The 25,868-nt window shown below is 43.4% G+C and overlaps 1 protein-coding gene and 1 long non-coding RNA gene across 5 annotated transcripts in view; one reads left to right on the top strand and one right to left on the bottom strand.

Moving 5' to 3' along the window:
• HSD17B2 (hydroxysteroid 17-beta dehydrogenase 2) overlaps nucleotides 1-25,868 on the bottom strand; it is a 63,282-nt gene that overhangs the window by 28,668 nt on the left and 8,746 nt on the right. For both annotated transcript variants that reach the window (NM_002153.3, XM_047434049.1), the window contains exon 2: nucleotides 1,485-1,697. In NM_002153.3, coding sequence (NP_002144.1) covers nucleotides 1,485-1,697 — 213 coding nt within the window. The remainder of the gene's footprint in view (nucleotides 1-1,484; nucleotides 1,698-25,868) is intronic.
• Nucleotides 3,101-25,531, top strand: HSD17B2-AS1 (HSD17B2 antisense RNA 1). 3 transcript variants are annotated; one of them, XR_933796.3, is made up of 3 exons: nucleotides 3,101-6,774; nucleotides 17,409-17,574; nucleotides 25,259-25,531. It is a non-coding gene; the product is annotated as an HSD17B2 antisense RNA 1 (long non-coding RNA). The 3 variants fall into 3 exon arrangements; XR_933797.3 differs by lacking the exon at nucleotides 17,409-17,574; XR_007065140.1 differs by having other exon boundaries at nucleotides 17,409-25,531.

The raw sequence follows: 25,868 nt of genomic DNA, 5'->3' as shown, positions 1-25,868 counted from the left end.
AAGGGTCCTGCACGTGGTTTCAGTCTCTGCTGTCACCAACTAACATTCCTAATAATCTTCCGAAATCAAGCTAGGGGCCCCATGTTTTCATTTTGCATTGGGTCTGCCAAGTTAGTTACATAGCCCATCCTGGACCCCAGCATAGGTAATTTTCAAATGATTCTAATGTGCAGTTGGATTGAGAACTCTTGGTATACGGAGAAAACTGCATGGCCCAGGGCACATAGAGTGCGAAGTCTGCAGATGCAACCCTCAGAAGCATTTGTATTTGTGGGGAGACAGAGGCAAAGTTTCATCCAGGAGAAGTGGAAAGAAAGATTGGAGAGCTAGGAGAGCAATGGGGGCTGGGGACCCCAAAGCCAAGGAGGAGAGTATAAACAACATGCTTAAATACTGCAGGGAAGTTAAAAACTGGGTCTTCCAGCAATCCCATTACCGGGTATACATCCAAAGGAATATAAACCATTCTATTACAAAGATACATTCACACATAGATTCGTTGCAGCCCTAGTCACAAAAGCAAAGACATGGAATCAACCCAAATGCCCATCAATGATAGACTGGATAAAGAAAATGTGGTACATATACACCATGGAATACTATGCAGCCATTAAAAAGAATGAGATCATATCCTTTGCAGGGACATGGGTGGAGCTGGAAGCCATTATCCTCAGCAAACTAAAGCAGGAACAGAAAACCAAACACCACACGTTCTCACTTATAAGTGGGGGCTGAACAGTGAGAACACATGGACGCATGGTGGGGAACAACCCACACTTGGGCCTGGTGGAGGGAGGGGAGGTAGAGCATCAGGAATAATAGCTAATGAATCCTGGGCTCAGTACTTACAGGATGGCTGGATCTGTGCAGCAAACCACCATGGCACATGCTTACCTATGTCACAAACCAGCACATCCTGCACGTGTAACCCAGAATTTAAAATAAAAGTTGAAAACAAAAAAAACCTGGGTCTTCAGGCTAATTCTGATTAGCTTTGCCAGATCAGTTAGGGAGGCAGAGTGAGAGCCAACGGCAAATTGAAGGTGAGGAAGAGAATCACAGAGCTACAGGGTTCCGTGGAGCGTAGCCATGAAGGAAAGAGAAGAGGAAGGGTAATGGGTAAAGAAGGACAGTGACCATGAAGGTATTTTTTTTCGAAGCTGGAGACTCTAATGCATGTTGCTATTGCGGACAGAAAAGCAATGAGCTGGGGCTGGAGGAATTATTCATGGGAGAGTGACTGAGAAGTTGGAGAGAATGAGACTGAGGTTTCTGTAAGTTCTGTGTGGATGGGCCCATGTCTGAGTTACTCCGAAGGTCTTCATGTTGATAGAGGCCCCCACACATGGTAGGGGTTCAGCACAGGTGTGCTTCAGGGCAAACAGTGCCCAGAGTGGAGTGGGGGGGCATGTTCAGCCTAAGCCGGAACAAGAGCTGGGCATTCAGGAGGAGGGTAAAGGCACTGAGGGTGCTGGCGGCAGTACCTCTGTCCTGCAGCATTGCTGCAACCTTGCTGTAAGCATCTTTTATCTGCACTGGCTTCGTGATGTCCATTTGGAGCACCGAGAGGCGCGGAGAGCAGGTTCTTCGCAATTCCTCAGCTCCTGGGCCATTTTCATTCAAAACTCCGGCAAATACCGTGAAGCCCAGCTCATCCAGATACTTGCACAAAGCATGGCCAAGCCCGCAATCACCACCTGCATAGGGTCAGGGGAGTAGGGAGTGAGGTCAAACCAGAGTGACAGGAGAAAATATTTAACAAGGAAAACATATTACGTTGTTTACGATTCTCCATGCTCTCTGAAGAGAGGGGTTCCTGAGGAAGTTTCTTTATGTTCTAAGTGGAGAGGTGGGAGGAGAAGCCAAGCCAGACAGATACATTTCCCCATATAAAGAAAGGGGCATAATATAGAATTAGGGGTTGTGAGTGGGCATAGGTGGAAAGAGAAAGGCATGGGGGAAGGGTAGTCCAGGAGTGGCTGGTGGCCAAAGTAATTGGGAAGGAAAACCAAGGCATCCAATGGAAGTAGCTTCAGTAATCTATAATGTGTAGTGTTTGATGTAACTTCACTCACTCTGTAAAACCTTCAGTCAAACATTCATTACAAACTCATACTTTGGACTCGGTTTTGCCTTTTGGAGACACAGGGCAATAACAGAGGCTGCCCATGGGGGCCAGTTCATGCTGGATTATAAAAAGTTCATGGCCACCTGTGTTTCTCACCCTCCTGGGCCTTTTTCCCTATCCATGGTCTGCCCTGAGCCATGGAATAGACGTCAAGCCTAAAAAGAAAGTTACAACAGAAACCAGATAGAAAGCCCTAATTGCATTGCTCTGTGAAAACAGAGACTAATGTAATACACAAAGTATGACTTAAGCTTCTCAGAATTTGAGATGGGAGTATACCCAACCCAGCCAAGAGGGTATTAGGGACCCAGGAAAAAGTGTTTTATACCCACAAGTGCAAAACGTTGATGTCTGAAATTCCTAAGTTGAAGATAACATGAACATTAAATCACCCTTTGAGCTACATACACCATAATAAACATATAACAGTTAACGTCTCTCTTGTTTTAATAAGAAAGTATTTCACATTGCCTGTGTCATGTGATCTTCCTTGGACTCCTGCAGGGATCTCTTGTTGGTAGTCAGACATGCCCGCCAAGAATTGGGAAATAAGGAAAATCAGAGTACATGCAGAGAATCAACTCAAAGATCAGTATGTGAGTGGGCAGGAAAGAGATCTCGCTTCCAAGCTAACAACAGGGGCCTGAAATCTACTGTCTGCAAAGAGAGGGCAGGTGTTCACATACACTATTGATAAACATGTGCAGGACTAAAATCCACCAGTGTGAATTGGCCTATCTTTTGACCCAAAAAGTCTCAGTATTTATCCTAGAGAAATACTTGCAGGCACATAAATGATGTTCTTTACAACACTGTATAAAAGCAAAAGAAGGAATTAACTTAAATGTCTATGAATAGGAGAATGGGTACCTAAATTACGGTACACAAAATGGAATAAGACAAAGCAGTTTTAAAGATGGAATAGAACTATTGACAATGACATGGCTATTGCTCCAAGATGCTTTGTTAAGTGAAATAAAATAATTTGCAGTATAATAATAATTAATAAAATCCAATTTTAATGCAAAAAAGAAGGAGAGTTGATGCCATAAATAGCGAGGTGTGGAAATGTAAAAAAATAAAATAAAATAAAAAAGAATTTGGAAGGAGAGATTCCCTAAGTTTTCCTTAGGAGGACAGGCAGAATGGAGGGTGGACCTTATCTTGTAATGTTTACCATTTTTGCTACAAAAAAGTACTTATTTTTCTTCTGTAATTTCTTTTTTTAAAGGCTATGCTAATTAGAATGGAGACTGGTCAGTCCTCTAAGTGTAGAAAAAGGTGGAAGAGAGAGAGATCCTAGCATGGTTGGCATGTGCGAACACTGCCAGAGAGAGAATGATAGTCATGGCAAAAGGTGTGTGTACTCCTGTCCTTCTGACACCACCATTATGAGATGAACGCCTCTGGTTGCCATCACTGATTGCATTTAACGTTTGCTCCATCTCCTTCCTTCTTATGTCTCCATGTATGTCATTGCCCAGCAAATAGCTCTTGAGTGTAAGTGGTTTCCTCCCTGGGGCTGGCCAGAGGAGGAGATGGTACCAACTGAAACACATGCAAGTGTCTGGACCATGTGATAGACACCTGTCTTAGTGTAAATTAATGCATTAGAATTCTGGTACTAATATATAATATATGTGTATAACCATTTTGTGAGCCCAGTTCCTGAAGAAATGGACCTGTTGCTGGACAAATCCAACTTCTGGATCCACAGTGCTGAGGCCAGATGCTGGACACTGGCAAGTTCACCAGACTGCAGACCAGTGCTGTGTGTGCTCTCCCTGGAATCCCCTAAATACCAGTAGTGGTCAAGTCTGTCTTATAAAATTATTCCCCAAATGTCTACAGTAGAAATTATCCTTCCTATCTTACAGATGAGGAAACTGAAAACAAGAGATGCCAAGATCACACAGATGGTAGGGATCGACCTGGACTCTATTGGATCCTAAATCCAAGTTCATGAGTCACTGTCGTACTGGACCAGCCACCTTCTCCTTCATCTGTGTCAGCAGAGAAGGGAGGTTTGGGCAAGCTAATCCCAGGATGATCCTCTTGTGGTCTGTAAGAAAGGGTATGAATTAACCTGAAAATAACTAACTTTGAACCAGGTTGGAGTTAAAAGTATCTAGAGCCTGGTTATACACACCCTGCTGGGTGAGACCAAGTGTTTCGTGGACAGCCTTTCCCATTTTGTGAGGTACCATACCTTATGCTTCTGCCTTATTATTGGCACAGCTAGATATATGGGGGCCATGGATTTTAAAGCCCCCAGTTCCCCCTAGAGGCTTGTGTGATATCAGGATGCCCAGCATGTTCCTTCTGCACAGAGAAGAAAACTGTTCTGCAGTGCAGAGACAAACACCATGACCTTGACTCTACGGAGCACATAAACAGTCAATCAGGGTATCTGCTGCTCTCTAGAGAGCTAAGAGAGGGGGAAAGGGGTCATCCACCCACTTAGAGCTGCTGACCATGAAGGCATGCAAACTGTCACCTGTATCCAAACCTGAAGTCCATCATCTGCTCCCCAAATCCACCTGAGAATCATGAACTTTGCACTTTCCAATCCTTCCTTTGGCCTTGCATCCCACAAACACTTTGATGTGTTCAACACTGTGTGCCTCCACACAAGATGCTGAGAGCTTCCCAGCTTCCCCTTCCCCACAGGGGTCCACAAGGTTATAATTGTCCTGTGTAACTCCACCTCTTGTCTGGGGCTGATTGGACCAGAGTCAACCAGCTTTTCTCTTTCAGAAATGTGGAATTGTGGCTGCAAGATCCAAAGCAGTGTCCGATACTGTCTGACCAAAGAGGTCATTAAACTCAATAGCAAATGGGGGGACTGGGTGGCTGTCTTCCTTCATGCACATGGAGATATGGGCTAAGTCCTCTTGAAGAGTAACAAGAGGCAAAGCTACAAATAAGAGCAGAGTCTGAGGTCAGATGTTGTCCACAGACATAGACGAGCATCTTCTTGGCTCATGATAGCTTTCCACTCTCTGGTAAACCTCAAGTGCTCTCTTCCCCATGTATGCTTTAAGAAATTCCACATCCTCCTAATAATCCCTCTTCTTTCTCGAGTTAGTTTTAGTGTCTTTCCTGAACATCTTTTTCACTTACTGCAGACACTAAAACTAGTTATCTTTGCTTTGGAAAACAGTCCTCAAAAGGTTAAACATAATGTCACCAGACGACCTAGCAATTCTGCTCCTAGGTGTGTACCCAAGATAAATGAAAATATATATTTACACAAAAACCTGTGCACAAATGTTCATAGCAGCATTATTCATAACAACAGAAAAAAAGAAACTAACCAAACATCCATCAACTAATGAATGGATAAAAAATATGGTATACCCAACAGTGAGATATTATTAAGCCATAGAAAGGAATGAAGTTTCTATGCTTGCTACAGCATGAACATTGAAACCATTACACTGAGTGAAAGAAGCCAGCGTGGCAGGTAAAGGGATGCGAGCAAGGAGGAGACATTGTGATCTTGACTCCTTTTCCTTTGAGTAGAGGATAATTTGTCACATTTTGGAAGGCAGTGCCTTTGAGCAGCTTCATGAGCCTAGGATCTGACTCTCTTAGGAAAGTTCCTTGGAAGAGCCTACAGGTGACAACAGTGTTGAACTTTAGGCAAGCCCTGTGATACTGGAAAATTGCAAAGGTTAAGAAATGTCCCCACCCTTTTGTGTTCTGGGAAACAGCTCACTGCAAAGAACTCCCTTCCCCATATGACTTAGATGAGACTCATAGGTGCCCCCACTTGTTTACCTATGACAAGGCCAGACCCAGAGCCTCCAAACTCCCTTTCTTTGTTTTTGTGGTTAGTTTAACTGCCTGTTTCCACTGGTCAGTCGGAACAAAGTGTTCGTTAACCTAACTTTGGTGTAGAGTCTCTCCTTTCCCCAGGTCCTGGCCCACCCTCAGCCTGAGCCAGCAGACAACTCCTCTTTACAGACCTTCCTGATCAGCCCTCAACCACTGTCTGATTGTGTCACTCTGATCATCCCAGCCCCCAACACCCACTTCTTTCTAACCTTGTTTATGCCTCTTTAGCAAAGCAAAATATTTACTGCCTCATCTTGAGACACTTGCAGATTAAGTGGTCAGAACATTCCCTCTACTGCAATAATCCTTTTGAATAAAGTCTCTCCTAACTAAATCTGAGGTTTTTTTTTGTTTGGCAGTAAATTAATGAAGCCAAAGATCACGGGAGACCATCTGCTTGTGTTTACCCATGAGGCAGTGTGGCATAGGCGAATGGGTGCGAGTCTAGCCCTGCTATTCCTGCCTGTGTAACCCTAGAGAGCCTTTCTAATTACTCTCTGCCTCTGCTTCCTTACCTGTAAAATGGGCTAAATAATGGTACCTGTGTCAGTTAATATTTGTGAAATGCCTAATAGAGCCTATTCCAAACAATTACTACATCAGTCTTTTTAAAAAATAAAACTGTGTCTTTATTTTAATTTTCAGATGTTTCCACTCACAATATTGGTAAATGTAGAGTTTGCCTCTACTGACTGTCAGCTGAACATCTTGGTTAAGACTCAGACTGCCTGATTCTTCTCTTCCACTTACAAGCCTTGGGAAAGTCACATATAACCATGTGGAACCTCCACTTCCTCACATGGAAGGTAGGATTATCATAACACCCCCTCCTAGACTGGCATGGGCAGTCAGCAAGACAGGATTTCGCACTGGCCCAGCGTGTTGTGAATGGCTGTCATCAGTATCGTGGCTGTAACCGTGACGTCATTTCTGACTTATGATGTTAGAGATCAGGCTGTGCTAGGCCTGGTGTCTATGAAGTCCTGAGGCAGCTCAGGGGTCAGAGGGCCTTGAAAAAGTCTGTGGCTAAGGAATCACTCCTTGAGGAGAGGGGAAAATAATTGTATACTCCGGAAACCTGGCAACAAAGCCAGGGCTTTCGTGAGAAGTTGGAAGTGTTTCATAAGAGTTACCCAACAGTGGTGTTTGAAAATAAGCACACCAAGTATGGATTGCATGTTTACCAAGTTCCAGCTAGTTCACATGCATTTACTCACTGAATCCTCTCAATCACCCTGGGGGGTAAGTAATGTTACCATCACCCATTTACAGAGGAGGAAACTGAGGCACAGAAGGATTAAGTCATTCAGCTAAGACACAGCAGAGGTAGTTTGGAGCCAGGCACAGATTAGGATATAAACAACTGGGGTATAAAATATTCAAATCCTCCAAAGCACAAGGCTTAGCCCATAGTGGATGCTCAATAAAAAGCACATGTTGGATGAATAAGCATTGAAGAGGGCACTAGAATATTTGTGCCTTACAAACTGAGAGAGGGTCCTTTGTCACTAGTGCTGAGGGCACCTGACTCATAGTAAGTGCTCAACAGGGCAGAGAAAATGCTGAGGTTGGTGTTAAACTATGTCATTTGGGATCATTCTGTCTCTAGCAGCCTGGAAACCCATCAACTTGGGACAGGCAATGACTACTACAGACCCATTTGTACAAGATTGGAGTGAATTTGAAATAGCAGTTAATTCTAAAAATGTTAATAAAGACTCAGTTTATGTGCAAAAGGGAAATAATGTGAATCACCTTGAATTTGAGGGTATTAGGAATTGTGTAATGTAGTTGCAAAGTGTATTTATGCTACTGCCACATGGGGGCACCATATTAGCTGGTGAACGGAAACACCCCATCATTTGTTGGTTCAAGTCTTAAATTGGGCACGTTGTGAATAACGCGTGTTTGGGAGTTCTTCAGGCCAGGCCTCTTGAATAAAACGCATCCACCCTGTAAATACAGGACTGAGTGCTGGGATGCATGTGCCCTGGAACACAAGCACTGTCCTTTGGAAGCTACATTCAGAAAGAAGGAAGATGGGGGATAAATTTACAAACCTGTAAATGTTTTTTAGTCATTAATAAAACATCATACAAGAAATAAAAGCTCACAGTCAATACTGAGATCAATAAAAGAAGGTATTCTCCATAATCTCACCATATTGCATAACTCTCATAATGTTCATGTTCTTTTTCTTCTAGTCTTTTTTCCTACATATCGTTCTTTAACAGTTATAGCACACATACAATTTGACAGCTGATTTTTAAATTACTATTATATAGACTGGTTTTACATATTTCTACATAGTCTTCAAAGCCATAATTTTTCATTACTATAGATAAAATCGTCCCTATTAAAATACAGCCAAGAGAAATGATGATAACCTGGATTCTGGAGCTGGGAGACCTGGGTTCAAATCCCAGCTCTGTCACTTAACAGCTGTGTGACTTTGGCTGTCACTTAACCTCTCTGTGCCCCAGTTTCCCCATCTTTAAAATGGAGTGACAGTAGGACCTGGGTCATAGAGTTGTTCGAAGGATTAAATAATTTGATATATTAAAGTAATTGGAACAAGGTCTGGCACAAAGCCACTGCTCTCCAGATGTTTATTAAATAAATGGTAACTTTTTTTTTTTTTTTGACAGAGTCTCACTCTGTCACCCAGGCTTGAGTGCAGTGGCACAATCTTGGCTTACTGCATCCTCTGCCTCCTGGGTTCAAGCAATTCTTTGCCTCAGCCTCCCAAGTAGCTGGGATTACATGCACCTGCCACCATGCCCAGCTCATTTTTGTATTTTTAATAGAGACGGGGTTTCACCATCTTGGCCAGGCTGGTCTTGAACTCCTGATCTCATGATCTACCTGCCTCAGTCTTCCAAAGTGCTGGGATTACAGGTGTGAGTCGCCACGCCTGGCCCATAAATGGAAACTTTTTTTAAAAAACCGACACTACACTACTCCTTTCATTGGCTCCCTCCAGTTTCTGGAACCAAAAAGGTTTTCAGATCAGTTCTCTCAGAAGGTCCTCACTGCTTTTCTAGCCACAGCGATGAATCAGCCAAAGATCACAGCTCTGCTTTATGCGTCCTTGCCCCTAAAGCTCCTCCGAGTGCTCCCTTTGCCAATGATGTCTTCAACTACCAGCAGCTTAAGGTGGAGGTGCTTACGGGGTTGGTATCTTCAGAGGCACCAAGACCCTTTCTCATAGTGGAATCTCACTTCTTATGGTAGAACGGACAAACACAAATTGAAGATCTGCTATCTATCAGTAAAAGGATGTGATCTGAATAGGCATTTCATTTGTCCCACACAATGAATTTTGCAAAAATTTGAACAAAGACTCAGAATCGGGAGATTGTACCTGAAAACCCAGATCAATGGTTTCTCTTGATTAACCAGGAGATGAGTCGGCATTCCCACAAGGGACCCATCAGCTGAGGCTGAGGACCTCCGGGGCTCCCCCTCTGATGGGGTATGCACTTGAAGAAACAAGGTTCACTGATCAAGAGCTCTCACACACACACACATTCCCATCACCAGCTTCCCTCAGTAATGCAGCCTACCCTGACCCCATAGCCTTTTGAGTTGGAGATCCCTGACCTACAGTTTCCCACTTACAAAGGTCATCTGAATCAAAGCTGTTTAGCTGGTAGAAAGCCTGTGGGAAACTAGTGGGAAGTGGACTTTCCCCACCCTTTAGTTTAAGACTTAGGCAATCCATCAGATTGCCACCCTCATGTTGACATTGCCTGTTCCCCATAAAATAGATTAAGGTATAATAAAATGTTAGAGAAATACAACAAAACTCTAGCATACTTAGGACTGCCCTGAGGTCAAAATAAAAGCTCAACTCTTAATCCAGGAAGAGCAAATACTTGACCTCCCTCCTCCTTTGCCCTCAGCATTCTTAACGGATAACAGTTGTCGGGTGAGGAGGCCTTGGGAAATAGCTAGATTTTTCATGTCAATTTTTTTTAATGGAAACAAATGCATTTTTCTTGGAACATAACCTTTATGAAGAATTCTCCCATATTCTTGTGATTCCTGTGTTAAGATGAGCAACTGAAGTGCCCGGGAAATTAAACACTTGCCCAAAGCTACACAACGGGAATGTGGTAGAGTCAGCCGTGAAACCCAGGTTTGCTCTTTGCAAAACACATTCCTGTACTGTCCCGGTGCCACTTTTAACTTCTGACACATCTTCCTACCTGTCTTCACCTTCATTCTTTTGTTCCCTCATTCATTCAGATATCATTGTGTTAGGTCCTAAAAACACCCACCCACAGAAGACAAATACTCCCTGGCTTCATGACGCATACTGATTAGGAAAGAGGTTCTCACTCCTCAATCCCACTACAATCTAAAAAAAAGTCAATGCCCATCCCCAGAGACTCCCATTTAATTGGCCTGGATAGGGGTCGGTATCCACTGGCAACAGTTTCTGAGATCTCTTCAGGAGATTCCAAACTTCAGCCAGGATTGAGAGCCACCAATGCAGGAAAGCGATTCTCAACCACAGACAATTTTGTCCCCTGGGGAATATCTGGCAATGTCTGGAAACATTTTTGGTTGTCACAACACAGACTACTATTGAGGCCAGGGATGCTTCTCAACATCTGCCAGCCAACATCCATCCTCAAATATCAACAGTGCCAAGGCTGAGAAACCCTGGTCTAGAGAGAAGATGCACATTGGATAAATAATTACAATATTGGTGAATGTTATTAATAGGAAAGTTCTAGGAATATGTCATAGTTTACTTTTATAGAGAACTCCAGTTTCCTCCTTAAGGGAACACTCATTGGAAAATAATACAGGCAGGAAAGAGAAGAAACTAGGTGATCTCCATCAGAGTACGGACTCTCTTGGGCTGTCTGGTTCACTGTTCCAGACCCCACACCCACTGAGCGCCTGTAGTAAATATTTACCGAATGACAGAATGAACAATTGAGTAAATGAAGAAGTATCACAGTCCAGGCACAACCCATCACCTTCTCACAGTTTCATGTTCTTGCCCTGTACTCGCTCCCTGGACCCATTCATCACCCTCCCTGAGCCCCGCCATCTGTCCACAGTGCCTAAAAATCAGATTTTTTCTTTTAAATGACCTTCATTTTTTAATAGGAACATAACTTAGGAAGGGTTTCTCGATTCTATATTCACAAAGGAAACTGAACTGTACAGATGACTGTAATTCAGCATTCAACTAAGACCTGGTCACCGTGAAAATTCGCATTACCCTTAGGGCACATGTGAACCAACACAAAGCTGATGTGGGAATGGGTGGGGTAGGTGAGCCCTAATGACTTTTGCCCATGTAAGGGGACTAAGTCCAAAAAGTTTGAGAGCCTTATGTTTATATATGTTATCTCACTTTATGCTTGCAACCTAAGGTAAGATGCACATTTTTTAAAAAAACAGATTTTATTTTTTAGAGCAAATTTAGATTTACAAAAAAATCAGAAAGCTAGTACCGAGAGTTCCCAAATACTTCGCATACAGTTTCCCTATTATTAACATCTTATGGCTGGGTGCGGTAGCTCACACCTGTAATTCCAGAACTTTGGGAGGCTGAGGCAGGAGAATCGCTTGAGCCCAGGAGTTTGAGACTAGCCTGGGTAACAAAGGGAGACCCTGCCTCTACAAATAATTTAAAAATTAGCCAGGTGTGCTGGCATACGCCCCTGGCCCCAGCTACTCAGGAGGCTGAGGTGGGAGAATCACCTGAGCCCAGGAGGTTGAGGCTGCAGTGAGCATGCTCATACTGCTGCACTCCAGCCTAGGCGACAGAGCAAAACCCTATCTCAAAAAAAAAAAAAAAAAATTAACAACAACAACAATCTTACATTAGTATGATGTAGTTACATCTTCTACAATTAATGACCCAATATTGATACATTATTATTAACTAAATTCTATACTTTATTCACATTGCGTTACTTTTACCTAATGTCCTTTTTCTGCTGTAGGATCCTGTTCAGGACATTGTGTTACATTTAGTGATCCTGTCTGCTTAGACTCCTGTGGGCTATGACAGGTTCTCAGACCTGACATAGTTGACATAATTGATAGTTTGACGGAGTGCTCATCAGGGATTTTGTAGAACGCCTCTCTATTTGAATTTGTCTGATGCTTTTCTCCTGATTAGACTGGGATTATAGGTTTGGGGGAAGAAGATCACAGAGGTAAAATGCCATTTCATCACATCACATCACATTAAGGGTACATAGCACCCATGTGACTTAAGACTGCTGCTGATGTTGACCTGGAAGATGTTGACCTGGTTGAAGTGGTGTTCATCAGTTTTCTCCACTGCACAGTTGCTTTTTCCCCTTCCCAAGCTGTACGCTTTGAAAGGAAGCCGTTGTGCACAGGCCACACTTAAAAACTGGGGAGTTAGGCTGGGCGCGGTGGCTCACGCCTGTAATCCCAGCACTTTGGGAGGCCGAAGCGGGTGGATCACGAGGTCAGGAAATCGAGAGCATCCTGGCCAACATGGTGAAACCCCGTCTCTACTAAAAATACAAAAAGTAGCCGGGCATGTTGGTGCGCGCCTGTAGTCCCAGCTATTCAGGAGGCTGAGGCAGGAGAATCGCTTGAACCCAGGAGGCGGAGCTTGCAGTGAGCCGAGATTGCGCCACTGCACTCTAGCCTGGTGACGGAGGGGGACTCTCTCTCAAAAAAAAAAAAAGAAAAGAAAAGAGAAAGTGGGGAGTTATGCTCTTCCTTCTTTAGGGTGGAATAGCTCTATACATTATTTGGAATTCTGCACAGGAGATTTATCTCTTCTCCCTCGCTTATTAATTAGTTCAATCACTTATTTATATCAGTTTGGACTCATGAATATTGATTTTATACTTTGGATTATGGCTTACTACTTTGTTGTGTTGCTCTAACTCTTCTAGCTTTGGCTATTTAGAGCTTCCAATTGGCTCCCATAAAAGTGCACATTTTTTCCCATTTTACAGGTGAGGAAACCAAGCTTCAGAAAGAATATAAAAAGTTTCCAGCCTCACTCAAGTAAAAAAGCAGAGGTGCCATTTGAACCCTACGTCCATAAGATTCTAAGGCACCTGTTTTTTTGTTTGGTTGGTTGTTTTTGTTTGTTTGTATTTCCTGTCTAACACATTCTCTCTGAATATAGTCAACTTCCGTGAATCAATGACTAGTGTATATTTCACCTATCGTTGTGAATAGGCAATAGCATTTTTGAGGTTACCAATCTGCTATGTATTATACATTATAGAGAAACTTAATCAGCACCAAGGTTAAGAAACAACATCAACAGCTCACCAGAGATCTCCCTTGTATCTCCTTCCAGTTGTCCCCACCCCTCACAGGTTACCACGATCCTGACTTACAACAGCATAGATCCGTTTTACCTGATTTTTGTTTTAAATAGATGGAAATAGGTATCGGTCCTCTTTGTGGCTGGCTTCTTTTGTTCATTCTCCTATGTTTTCCTGTGGCTTGGTTAATAGAAATTTTTTGTTAATGTTCCAACCATGTATTTCACAAGAATTGCTACAAGTAAAGTAACACTTGTAAAAACACGTTAAGCAACTACATAAAAAGTAAATTTACTTAAGATTAGCATAACACAAAAAAGAGAAAACTAACCAGAGATACAACTAAATTGCCCCACTATCCCAAGGTCCCTTTTATCATTATCTAAGGTTTTATCTAAGTAGGGCAGCCTTACTAATGTCCCTTTTTTTCATGGGAAAGATGCTTCCTGGCTGACAGGATGTCATTCTTGCCAACACATGACCAAAAACTCACTCAGCCGCTTCCAAAATATAATGGTACAAGATGCAACTTGCCAAACTTGAATAAAATCCAAGATGTCTGTGATTTACAGTTTTCTATTTTCTGTTTCATTGCTAATTACCACCATTGACCTAGTTCTTTACAACAGAGATGACAAACCCTTGGTACCTGGGCCAGCTTACACTTCTCATTCCACCATGGACACTGTTCAATCAAATCACCTCTCCCTTAGAATCTACTCACTCCAGTACTCCTCACCAACCACAGAGGAAACCAATTCGCCACCCTCACTCACACCAGAGCATTGTGTTATTTTCTAGTTGGATCCACGCTTCTATTGCATGGTTTTCCGGTTGAATCCAGGCTTCTCATTTCTGCTCCATTCTTACCACATCTCTCCCCAGCTCATGAACCTGCTCTGACACCCACTTGTCTGATAGATGGTGGATACAGTACGCTGTCTGGATGTCAATAACTTCTATCATTTGCCCACTGTGGGGGAGTTTTCTACATTTCCCAACCTTAGGACATACCTTCTATTCTACTTGGGCTGATTTCTTAATCATCTCACATATGTGCTACTTACTCCATCCTGTGTGTTCCTGCCTATTCATTACCTCATTCTTTCAATAGCTCTTTGTTGAGCATGTGCCATGTACTCTTCTACATCATGGGGACACGGCAACATATAAAACCATCCAAGTCCCCATCCCATGAAGCTTAGCTTGTAGGAGGTCATGGGAGACATTCAATAAGCAAATGTATTGGCGTCAGGTGGGAATGGGTGTTTGCAACAGAATAGTGACTGGGTGCCAGGATGCCATGTTCACGGAAGAGTGCACCAGGCACAGGGCAGAGCAGGTGCAAAGGCTCTCAGACAGGAACATAATTCTCAGTCAAACAGCAGAGAGGCCATTTTAACCAGAGCAGAACAATCAAAGAGAATAAAAGGAGCTAAATTACAGCAGTAGTTCAAGGCCAGTCCATGTGGCCTTTAAGTCAGTGATTTTCAGTTCCCCCCCAGGGAACATTTGACAATGTCTGGAGACATTTTTGATTGTAAAAATGGGGATGGGCTACTGACATCTGGTGAGGCCAGAGAGCTGCTAAACATCCCAAAATGCATAGAACAGACCCCACCAAAAAGAACCATCTGGCCTCAAATGTTAAGAGAGCCGAGGTTGAGAAACTCTGCTTTCAGCCATGGGGAAGACCATGAGTTTTATTGTAAAATGTGACGAGAGATATCATCAGAAAGTTTTGAACCAAGGTGTGACTTGAGTTGACTTAGGTTTTAAAAAAAATAGAAATATTTCTACTGGACAGCACCCTTCCCTTTCTGCTAAAGACACTAGTGGGGAAAGAGGAAAAAATGACATCTCAAAGAGATGAAGTGGGAGTGGGAAGAGAAAGCAACATTTCTGGAGGTTGGGAAATCAAGTTGGTGGAAATGGCTAAGTGGTATGTTAAGAATAGGGCAGGGCTGAGCCCGGTGGCTCACGCCTGGAATCCCAGCACTTTGGGAGGCTGGGGCAGGTGGATAACTTGAGGTCAGGAGTTTGAGGCCAGCCTGAGCAACATGGTGAAACCCCATGTCTACTAAAAATGCAAAAATTAGCCAGCTCTGGTGGCACACACCTGTAGTCCCAGCTACTTGGGAGGCTGAAGCAGGAGAATTGCTTGAACCTGGGAGGTGGAAGTTGCAGTGAGCCAAGATCACACCACTACACTCCAGCCTGGGTGACACAGCGAGACTCTGTCCCAAAAAAAAAAGTTAGATTTTAAAAAGAATGGGGCAGTCTAATATTTACAATGTCTGTGATGACAGAGGAGCCCTGAATTTTCTGGAAAGCGTATTACTTTCATCTGATCTATGTGCATGGCTTTTCTTTCTTTTTTTTCTTTTTTTTTTTTTTTCGATATGTGGGTTAAGGTTAAGTGATTAAGGAGAAAGGGCTCTTACATGTTTGGACTGATAACAGAGTAAAGAATGAGAGATGAGAGTTCATCTTCACTAGAAATCACAGCCAGAGGTGACTTGGAGAAAGACAAGCTTGGGAATTTGTAGACATGCTGTTGAAGGCATGGATAGACCTGCCTTAGGTCATCATGTAAGGACTCCAGCACATAATCTCTTGACTTAATGAGCATGGTGACCTTAAGTGATATCTGAATCACTTTGATTATCAGGAACAACTGCTTATTAAATAAAACTGATAATGAACTTCTATCTATGGTTATGCATTCTATGTTAGAACTTCTTTACATAATACAAGAGGGAGATGCTCTACCAGTCCAGTACCATCCATGTCCAGTGTTGTTTGAGCTCCCCAGCAGCAACACAAGATGAAGCTTTCTTTCCATGGACAGCAGCACACAAAGTCTTCTCTGTGCACAGTCTCAGAGTTAATAGAACATCTTTAGAGGTCAGCCACAACCAATGAATTTAATCAATTCACTCAGCTTCTCTCTGCTCCCCCATGCTGGGCTAGGTGCTACAGGTACAATGGTGACCAAGATGGACACAGTTCTTGGCCTCAAGGTCTTACAGTCTAGTGGAGAACTCAGAGTCCATGGCTAGCGCTATGAACTTTCCCCAATCCTGCTAAACGTATCATTGGTTATGTTGGCATTTTTTATCTTAGTTTTCAATCTCTGCTACTTTAATAATAAATAAATAAATAATAATAAATAAATAAAAATTAAAACTCGGGAGAATGAAAAATGATGATATTTCGATCTTCTCTTTTCATTTCTGTAGACTCTGCAGGGGTGCATCAATTGTAGTTTGCTTGGGATGTGTGCCTCTTCCAAATCTTCTCTACCTGTAAGACTTTTGGTTTGGCTTTTTCCCCTGCAGTCTAGGTGACTCTGATCACCAATTCCCTGATGTACGTGGGCTCCTTCTGTTGACTTCTGCATTTGCCATGCAGCCAAAACCTGTGCTACCAGAAAAAAAAGTTCTTAGCAACTTTTAGCTAATAAGTGCTATAGTTGGAATGTGTTCCCCAAATTTCATGTGTAGTAAACTTAATCCCCAAATTCATATGTTGATGGCATTGAGAGGTGGAGCCTTTGGGAGGTAATTAGGTCTAGATAAGGTCATAATGGGGCCCCCAAGAGGGGCTGGTGGCTTTATAAGAAGAGGAAGAGAGACCTAAGCTGGCATGCTCTTGCCCTCTTGCTATATGATGCCCTCCACCATGTTATGATGCAGAAAGAAAGAGCAATGCCAGTACCATGCTCTTCAGTTTTTCAGCCTCCAGAAATGTGAGTGAATAAATTTCTGCTGTTTTAAGGCACCCAGTCTGTTATGCTTTTTTACAGCAGTTCCAGGAGACCAATAAAGTGAACTACCTGTCTCCTACTACATGTGATCTTCAGTAGACTGCCCAACACTGCCCAAGCTAAGAGAAAGGATATTTTTCCCTGGATTGTGAGTTTTGAGCATAAAAAAATAGAGAGATGGGCAAGACCTAGATTCAGGGCCCAGCTTTGTCATTTACTCTCCTAGTGGGACTAGGAAAAGCTAGTTCAAGGGAAATGCATGCCCAGGGTGTAGCCTTCTCTAGAGAGTTTCTGAGCAGGTAGAAAACCTCAAGGGTTGCTCCCTGAGGGAGACTCATGCTATGAGCAAACTAGAACTCACTGACAATTCCATTCACAGGACCCTCTCGCTAGAAACATTTGGATACATGACAGTTCGCTTGCTCTGACCAAGGAGGAACAGCTGCCCATACTCAGTTCCCTGGGTCTAAGAGACACTCAGACAACATCTTTGTTAAATTCATTATTTGCAAAGGCCTGGGCAGAAGACCAAAACAGAAAAAGAGGTAAGAGGATCCAGGCGTAGCTTCTCAATTTTTGGCAAACGAGAATGCCCACCTGAACAACAGAGAGGGGCACAGCCTCCCCATTCCCACAGCCCACCAAGGAAGGACCTGGGATTGCTCATTTTTCCAGGGACCAACCCGTATAAGAATAGTCTCAGCAAACTACCTACAAGACCTCAAATCTCGGATACGACTTGATTCCTGGTCATACACCGCACAGACATTATTTCCTGAGCACCTATGATGTGGTTGGCTCTGTATAAGGCACTGACGGCACAGTGTGATCCTATCCTTGGTGATGGTGAGCCCTTGATAGAGACCTGCACCAGGTGCCAAGGGCACATGAAGAAGCATCCAAAGCCCGTGGGGTCTGGGAGAGAGCAGGGAAGATTACACAGTTAAGCAAACTCTCAAAAGTAGTATCCCCATTTTACAGATTAGTAATCTGAGGCTCTGAGATGTTAATTATCTGACCCAGGTCACACAGCAAGAAGCTGGCAGAGCTGAGAAGCTGCAACTAACGATTCCGAAGTCCATGCTCTTTTTTTCTTTTTTTATTTTACTTTAAATTCCGGGATACATGTGCAGAACTTACAGGTTTGTTACATAGCTGTATGTGTGGCATGGTGGTTTGCTTCACCTATCAACTCGTCACCCTAGTGTTAAGCCCTGCATGCATTAGCTATTTGTCCTGATACTTCCCCTCCCCTCACCCTCACCCCCACCCCAATAGGCCCCGATGTGTGCTGTTACTCTCTCTGTGTCCCTATGTTCTCATAGTTCAGTTCCCACTTATGAGTGAGAACATGCGGTACTTGGTTTTCTGTTCCTGTGTTAGTTTGCTGAGGATGATGGCTTCCAGCTTCATCCATGTCTCTGCAAGGGGCATTATCTCATTCCTTTTTAGTCCATGGTCTTTTTGCACTGCTAGATAATCTCTCTAACCCTGGCGGGAAGGCACTTGCCTGCCTAGCAGTCTTTGTTTGCTCATGCATTCATTCATGCGTGCATGCATTTCTTCAACAGAAGTTTATTAAGCATCTACTGCATACCAGGAGCCGTACGCAATGCTATCATTACAGAATTGAATGAAATAGTCAAGATAGTCTAGTGGGACTATGACACAGATATTTACTAGATAAATATTCAATTTCAAGGTGAGAAAAGTTCTATGAAAGTAACAAATAGGATATGAAGATTGAGAAATACACCTGGAGACTTAAAGCCTGGAGAACAGAGAATACCTGTTCAAGAAGTTAATATTTAAGCTAGTAGTTATCAGTTGGCAGGGATTTTGTCCTCATGAGGCATTTGGCATTGTCTAGAGACATTTTTTCTTATCACAACTGGGGAGCAGATTATTGTGTCATCCAGTGAGTAGAGACTAAACATCCTATAATGTACAGAAAAGTTCCAACGACAAAGAAATTTTCCAGCCCCAAATGTCAATAGTGCCAAGATTTAAAAACAAAAACAAAAACAAAACAAAAGCATGACTACAAGCAGTTAATTGTCATGTCTTAGACTAAGACATGAAGGTGAAGAAGAAGCCAGCCTGTAAAGGGTGGAGGAAAAAGCATTCCCGGTGAAAAGAACAGTAAATGGAAAGACTTTAGAGCTTGGTGCTTCAAGCTAACTAGCAGGGGAGAGAGGTGTGGGATCTGGGGGCTCGGATTCCACAGGGCCTTCTGGTCTTGGGCAAAAGTTTGGGTTTGAATTCTCTACAGCAGAAAGCCTTTGATGGGTCTTAAGCCAGAAAAAGACACTCAACCTACTCTGCAGAGAACAACTTAAAGAGACAAAAGTGGAATCCCAGAGGCCAGGGAGTAGCCCTAGAACAAATGACGGTAGCTTTGACTACATCAGAAGCAGGGGAGGTGACGAGCCGTGGACATATCTAGGTGCAGTTGGAAAGTAATAGCCTCAGCACCGAGAACGAATTGTATATGGGCGGGCAGGGGAGAAGATGGGCAGAGAAATGAGAATGAAGGGGAGTTCTTGGGATTCTGGTCACTACAGAATGCTGGGTAGTGCAGCTCACCAAGATGGGGAACCCTGAGCAAGGGCCAGGTAGGGAAGGGTCCCAAATCAAGAACTCAGTTTCAAGCATATAAAGCGCAAGACATCCAGTGGAACTGAGTACATAAGGTGTTGGAGAGAGAAATTGTTTATACAAGATTTTGAGCTGTGGTTCATTTGTAAAGTAGGGCTGGCTATCCATTAGCTTCACCTGGGACGGAGGCGCTCTAAAGAAACACCAATGCCCAGGCACATGCCTTAGATCAGGTAAACTTGAGCTCTGGGAGTGGGTGCCCAAGCATCATTATTTTTTAAAAGCCCCAAGGTGATTCTGACACACAGTGACAGTTGATATCCACCGGATTCAAGAAGCTGTCCCGAGGTGGAGACCTTCTCTGTATGCATGCAGCCCCACTATGGGGCTGAGAAGCCTCACCTTTGTGCCTTACCAAAGGAACTGTCTCTAGTTTGTGTCTATTTAAAAATTCCATCTCTGCTGCTTCAGTGGTTGGCTGAAGTCTATCTGTAAAAACAATGAACTGCTTGTAGTCTTGGGTGTTCTTGTATTACCTGCAGTTCCAGACCTTTTGTTCCAAGACTCTCTTGTTTATGGGAATGTCAGTCTCCTGATAAAGCCCCAGGGCTGTTTCCTCTCTTTCATTCTTTGGGAGCCAGAATGTTTGCAATCTCTCTTGTGAACTTTCTTTCCGAAATGCTCACAGCATCTTCTGACACCTTGTACTCAAAGCAGGAGATATATTCAGACCTGGCCTATTCTTCAAGGTGCAGTTAAATCTCCATTCCCTTTATTATTATGGGGCACCCATCATGTGACTTGCTTTGTACCTGGCACTTGGGGAAACCATGATGCACATGAATGACATGACCCGTCATCTAGGAGAAAGTATCTCAACTTCAGAGCTATTGACATTTGAGGTCAGGTAAATTTTTTGTGGTAGGGGCTGTCCTTTGCATTATAGAATGTTCAGTGGCATCCTGGCCTCAACACTCAATACCTGTAGCATGTTGTCACTCCCCGCTACCCTATAGGTTTTGACAACCAAAAATATCTCCAGAATTGCCAAATATTCCCCTAGGTAACCAAATTGCTCCCAGTAAAGAACAATTGCTTGAGAGGGAAGAGTATATTAAATAAATAGTCACAGAGAATGCTGATAAAGAATATGAAAGGGTCATAAACAGGAGAGATGTAATTGAACAGAAACATATAAGCTCAACATGGGACTACCTGTTCCAGCCCAGAAAGTAGCCAGGATTATTTTCATCATAATGCGTTCTCTGGTTACTTTATTGTCCTTTGTCTTCTTTGATTTCCTACAGCAGCATTCACTGTTTGTGTACTATGCAGCCAGGCTCAACACTAAGCATTTGGCATGCTCATTTCATTTTATTCTCATAACTATTCTACTGACTACAAGCAGTACATTGTCACATCTTATACAACTACCCTATAACCAACACTGGCACCACAAACAATTGAAGATTTCCTATATAAGTAAATTGCCTTTCTAACCAATAACATGTCATATTAGCCTTGCAAACTAGAACAAAAGCTGCGATGTCTATAGTGTCCACTTTTTCTTTATCTCTTAAGCAACAGCCTCCTAGTTCATCAGTTATCACAATCCTTTTTGTACTATTAATGTCTCTTCTTCAAGTCCTTCCTTCTGGGTCTCCAAATCACTCCCCAAATTTCTCTCTTCCACCAAACTTTTTCTTTTGATCTTCATGTTCCCTGGAGCTAATTCCCCATCTTCTCCTTCCCTTTTCCACCAAAATTCTCAAATTTTCAGAGTTGCTCACTAACATCATCTCCTTGCTGCCTTTGCACTGGGACTCCTTCCTGTGCCCTTTCCTGAAAGAATTCTCTCTAATCGGTATCCCCAAGGCAGTGAAAGCAGAGCTATCAGCTCATCTCATTTTCTCTCTCCTCCATACTGGATGTTGTTTGTAACTATTTTCCTTGGAACCCTACACCACCCAGGTCTCCCTTCCACCTCCTATCCTATAGGTATGAGTGGACCCCACCGCCCAGTGCCCTGTCCTAATCTCTGTCTACACTCGTCTCTCAGATATCTTTTTAGGTTTCAGAGCTTCATTTGTCCTACCTATGTGGAAGATTAATCTAATTTTATCTTCCATCTTGGGCTGTTTCTTGTATTTTAGCCTCATTTCTCCAATTTAATTTGGACACCACCACCTGAATACAACCTTGGCATGTCAAATTCAACATGTCTCAAACAAAAGATATAATATTTTTCGCAAAGTCAGCTCCTCTTCCTCAGTCTCGCAAGACCTATGGTTTCTCTTCATTGTAAAAATCACCCTCAGACCCTCAGAATCATTCTCTACATTCCTTTGTCTATGCATTCATTCCTTGAGCCTGTTGTGGACACCATGTTTTTCACTGGGGCCATAGTGCCTCCCTGCATGGAGCTCATGGTCCATCTGGAAATCCAGGCAGTCAAAAGAAGAATCAGAAAGGGCATATGATGAGAGCCATGATAGGGAGAGTCCAATGTGCAGTGGGTCTCTCCTTTTCTTCTCTGCCTAGGTCCAATAAGACAGCAAGTCCTACAGGGCTTCCTTCATAAAGTCCCTCCAGTTGGCTGCTTGCCCTTCCAACTCATGGCCTCTACCCCAGTCTCCTACATCCTCTTGCCTCTTCTCACTTCTGCCCACTTCTCTGAACTCTCACACATTATACTGTCCTGCAATATACTGGCTTCTTGCCTACCTGCTCCTCTATACTGCAAGTTGATTCAATGTCATGAACGCATACTATTTGCCACTATATTCCCAGTACCAGGCACAGAGTTGCTCAATAAGTGTTGGTGAAATAACGAATGAATGGATTCTAATCCCCTTTCCACACTGCTAATCAGAGTTCTTTTTTAAAACCCTCCTATGCCATTGTCTTCTTCTCTAGCTCTTCCCTAAACTTCATTCTTTAACAACATACCAGGTAGGTTCTGAAGTAGTAATCTAAAGGTAGCCAGGTAACAAACCCCGGGCATGACTGGGAATATTTGGAAAACAGTGACAAGCTTCATGAGCACAGAGCACTTATGATTGCTCACTGGAGAAGTGCCACCCCTGCTAATGGAGGGAGATCAGGAAGTTCCTGGCTGTTCAGTCTTTAGTGTTCTCTGGTGCTATGGGGTAAGGAGTTCTCTTTCTTAAGGAATGAAAGTCAGCTTTGCATAAGATTCTGTGTCTGAATGCGGAAGGTGCTTGGGTCAGCTGAGCAGGTCTGAAAAAGATGGCAGCCAATACCCCTTTCCCTCAAGGGGAGCACACTTGCCATCTACCTTTTTGCACTGCTTATATTATCTTCTTGAGCTAAAAGACCTGCATTTGAATTCCAGCACTGCCAATTACTTATTTGTCACTTGGCCTTAGTTATGTAAACTCTTGAAAAACCTCAATTTCTTCATCGTTGAGTGGGGTTAATAATAAAAACCATTTCATCAGTATCTGGACCATGATCACTCTAGAATAGGGGTATTGAGTATACTGTGTACATTGGCTCCTCTTGTGTACACTTAAAGATTTTCATGATTTTTTTTTTTCCATTATCAGCTCACTGCAACATCTGACTCCCAGGTTCAAGCGATCCTCCTGGCTCAGCCTCCCCGAGTAGCTGGGATTACAGGTGCCCACCACCATGCCCGTCTAATTTTTGTATTTTTGGTAGATATGGGGTTTTACCATGTTCCTCAGTCTAGTGTTGAACTCCCGGGCTCAAGTGATCTGCCTGTGTCAGCCTCCCAAAGTGCTGGGATTACAGGCGTGAGCCACCGTGCCTGGCCCATAATATTTTTTTAAATTATCTTATAAGGCGTTTGTGAGAATTAAATGAAATTAGGCATGGAAAGTGCTCCTTACAGTATCTGACACATAGGAAGCCTCTGATACAAGGTGGCTCTCAACAGCACAGTCACACCACTGTCCTGGCCATGAGGGTTTTGTGGCACCGAGATCATCTTATCCATTCATTGGTTTGTTGTGTTATGTCTTCCTCCGCTAGAATTAAGCTTCATGAGGCAGGGCCTTATTCTGTTTTTGCTCCACACTGTATCTCGAGCGTGCATAGTAGGCAATTGGTACTGAAAACATGAGCTGTGAAAACAACCAGCTTCGGCCCCAGCCACGGCTCACATCAATCACACATCCTGCTCCCAGTCAGCACCCTTCGCTCCCCACCTAAGAGGTAATGCCCTGCCTCATAGAGAGATGGGGACTCAGGAGGCAATGCAACAGGTGAACAGTTTGCCTAGAGCAAAGGTCTTCACAGTCCAGCACCTCCCAAAGACTCTCTGTAACAGAAGAACCAAAAAGACAGCTCAGGGTAAATTATCAGGACTGAGAAGAATCAGGAGAGAAAACACAAGAGGCTAGAGTGGTCCCAGCAGAAGCTCTCAAAGAGGTCAGAGCTTAAAAGGGCATGAACCAAAGTTAGACAGCACAGAGCCAAGGGTCTCAACACTGGAGAAGCATCTGTCAGTGAAAACTGGGATTAAGCTGAGACCTGCAAAGCAAGTCTGCTACAAAAAGAGGGCTTGCTAGCCAAGAAACAGTCAGAGTGCAAAAGAACAAAGGAGCAGGGCACTATTGTATGAGGCTGATGAGGCACATTAATGAATGGCCCAGAAGGCAGAACTCTCATCGCCTATATTCCTTTTGTCTCCTTTGCCAAGGGGATTACTGAACTGGAAAAGATAGAAAATAGGTAAAAATCATTATATTTTATAAAGCAGCTACTACGTATCAGGCAGCAATATATATTCACAATCTTGCTTAATACTTAGAAGAGATATCAATCATGATTCCACTTTATATGTGAGAAAAATTAACCTCATAGAGGTGAAGCAGCTTTCTCATGAGTGCAGAACTAGTGAGTAGTCTAATATCTTCATTTAGATACTGTATATCTTAAGAGGGAAGCTTAAGATGGATGGGGGGCTCACTGGGGGTAAACAGCCCAGTGCTGACCCCATTTAAGTTCACAGTCAAACCTCCCTGGACCATTTTCATACCAGCTGCAGTTTGCAGTTTAGACACAGCATCCGCTATTCAGAGAGTTGATTTTCTTTTCTTTTTTCTCTCTTTTTTTTTTTTTTTTTTTTTTGGACAGAGTTTTACTCTGTCACCCAAGCTGGAGTGCGGTGGTGTGATCTCAGCTCACTGCAACCTCTGCCTCTCATGTTCAAGCGATTTTCCTGTCTCAGCCTCCTGAGTAGAGTAGCCAGGATTACAGGTGCACACCACCATGCCCTAATAATTTTTGTATTTTTAGTAGAGATTGGGTTTCGCCCTGTTGGCCAGGCTGGTCTCGAACTCCTGACCTCAGGTGATCTGCCCACCCTGGCCTCCCAAAGTGCTGAGATTACAAGCGTGAGCCACCATGCCCAGTCAGAAGTGTTGGTTTTCTGGACCTAGTGTGACAGGGGAACACTTCTTCCCCACTTCCTATGCTGTCTGCAATATGGAGGGATAGCTTTCAGTGTGACGTTCCTGGCCCCTCTGGCTCCTCTACCCTCCTCCCCCCAGGGAGGTGGAGCAAAGTATCTGATTGGTGAGTTTGGCAGAAAGAATTGGACATGAACATTTTGCCTGGTGCAAAGGTCTTTTCTCTCTCTAGCAGGAGAACCAAATGACAACTCGGAGGAAATGATCAGGACTGAGAAGGAGAGGAGAAAATCCAAGAGGCCAGACCCTCACGTGGACCCTATTGTCTCTTCCTTCCAACCTCCCAGCCTATAAACACCTGTGCTAAGCCCAGCTGCCCAGCCCAGGCCCCATCTGTGGGTGAGGCCTGAGACTTTTCGACCTTGCCTTGGCTGAGCACCGTTATTACCACATGCCTAAGACCCGTGCTCCAATGCATCTATCAGGAATAAAGCTGATGTCTTAAGCCCCCTGTCTCATTTCTCCATTGGTTCAGAATTCAGGGGAAATTCTGTTTAGGGACTGACCCCACCAAACAAAGCAACAGCATGTGGTGAAGAACCCTGCATCTGTTCTGATTTAATTTCACCTCATTTAGTTCCAGCTGGGTTTGTGTTGCTCATACCAAGATGGTATGTGATATTAACTCTGAGTCAACAGCTCAGAGGAATGTCAAGAAAGAAACTGGAAATGGTTCAGAGGAGGCTAAATAGAATGATGAACGTTCTGGAAACTAGGCCATGGGAGGAATGGTAAAAGGAATGAGAAGATTTAGTTCAAAGAAGATTTGACTCTGATATGAT

This window comes from Homo sapiens, chromosome 16, assembly GCF_000001405.40.
Source record: "Homo sapiens chromosome 16, GRCh38.p14 Primary Assembly".
Classification (NCBI taxonomy): domain Eukaryota; kingdom Metazoa; phylum Chordata; class Mammalia; order Primates; family Hominidae; genus Homo; species Homo sapiens.
Note: the sequence above shows the minus strand (reverse complement) of the source record. Positions and strands in the feature narration are given on the sequence as shown.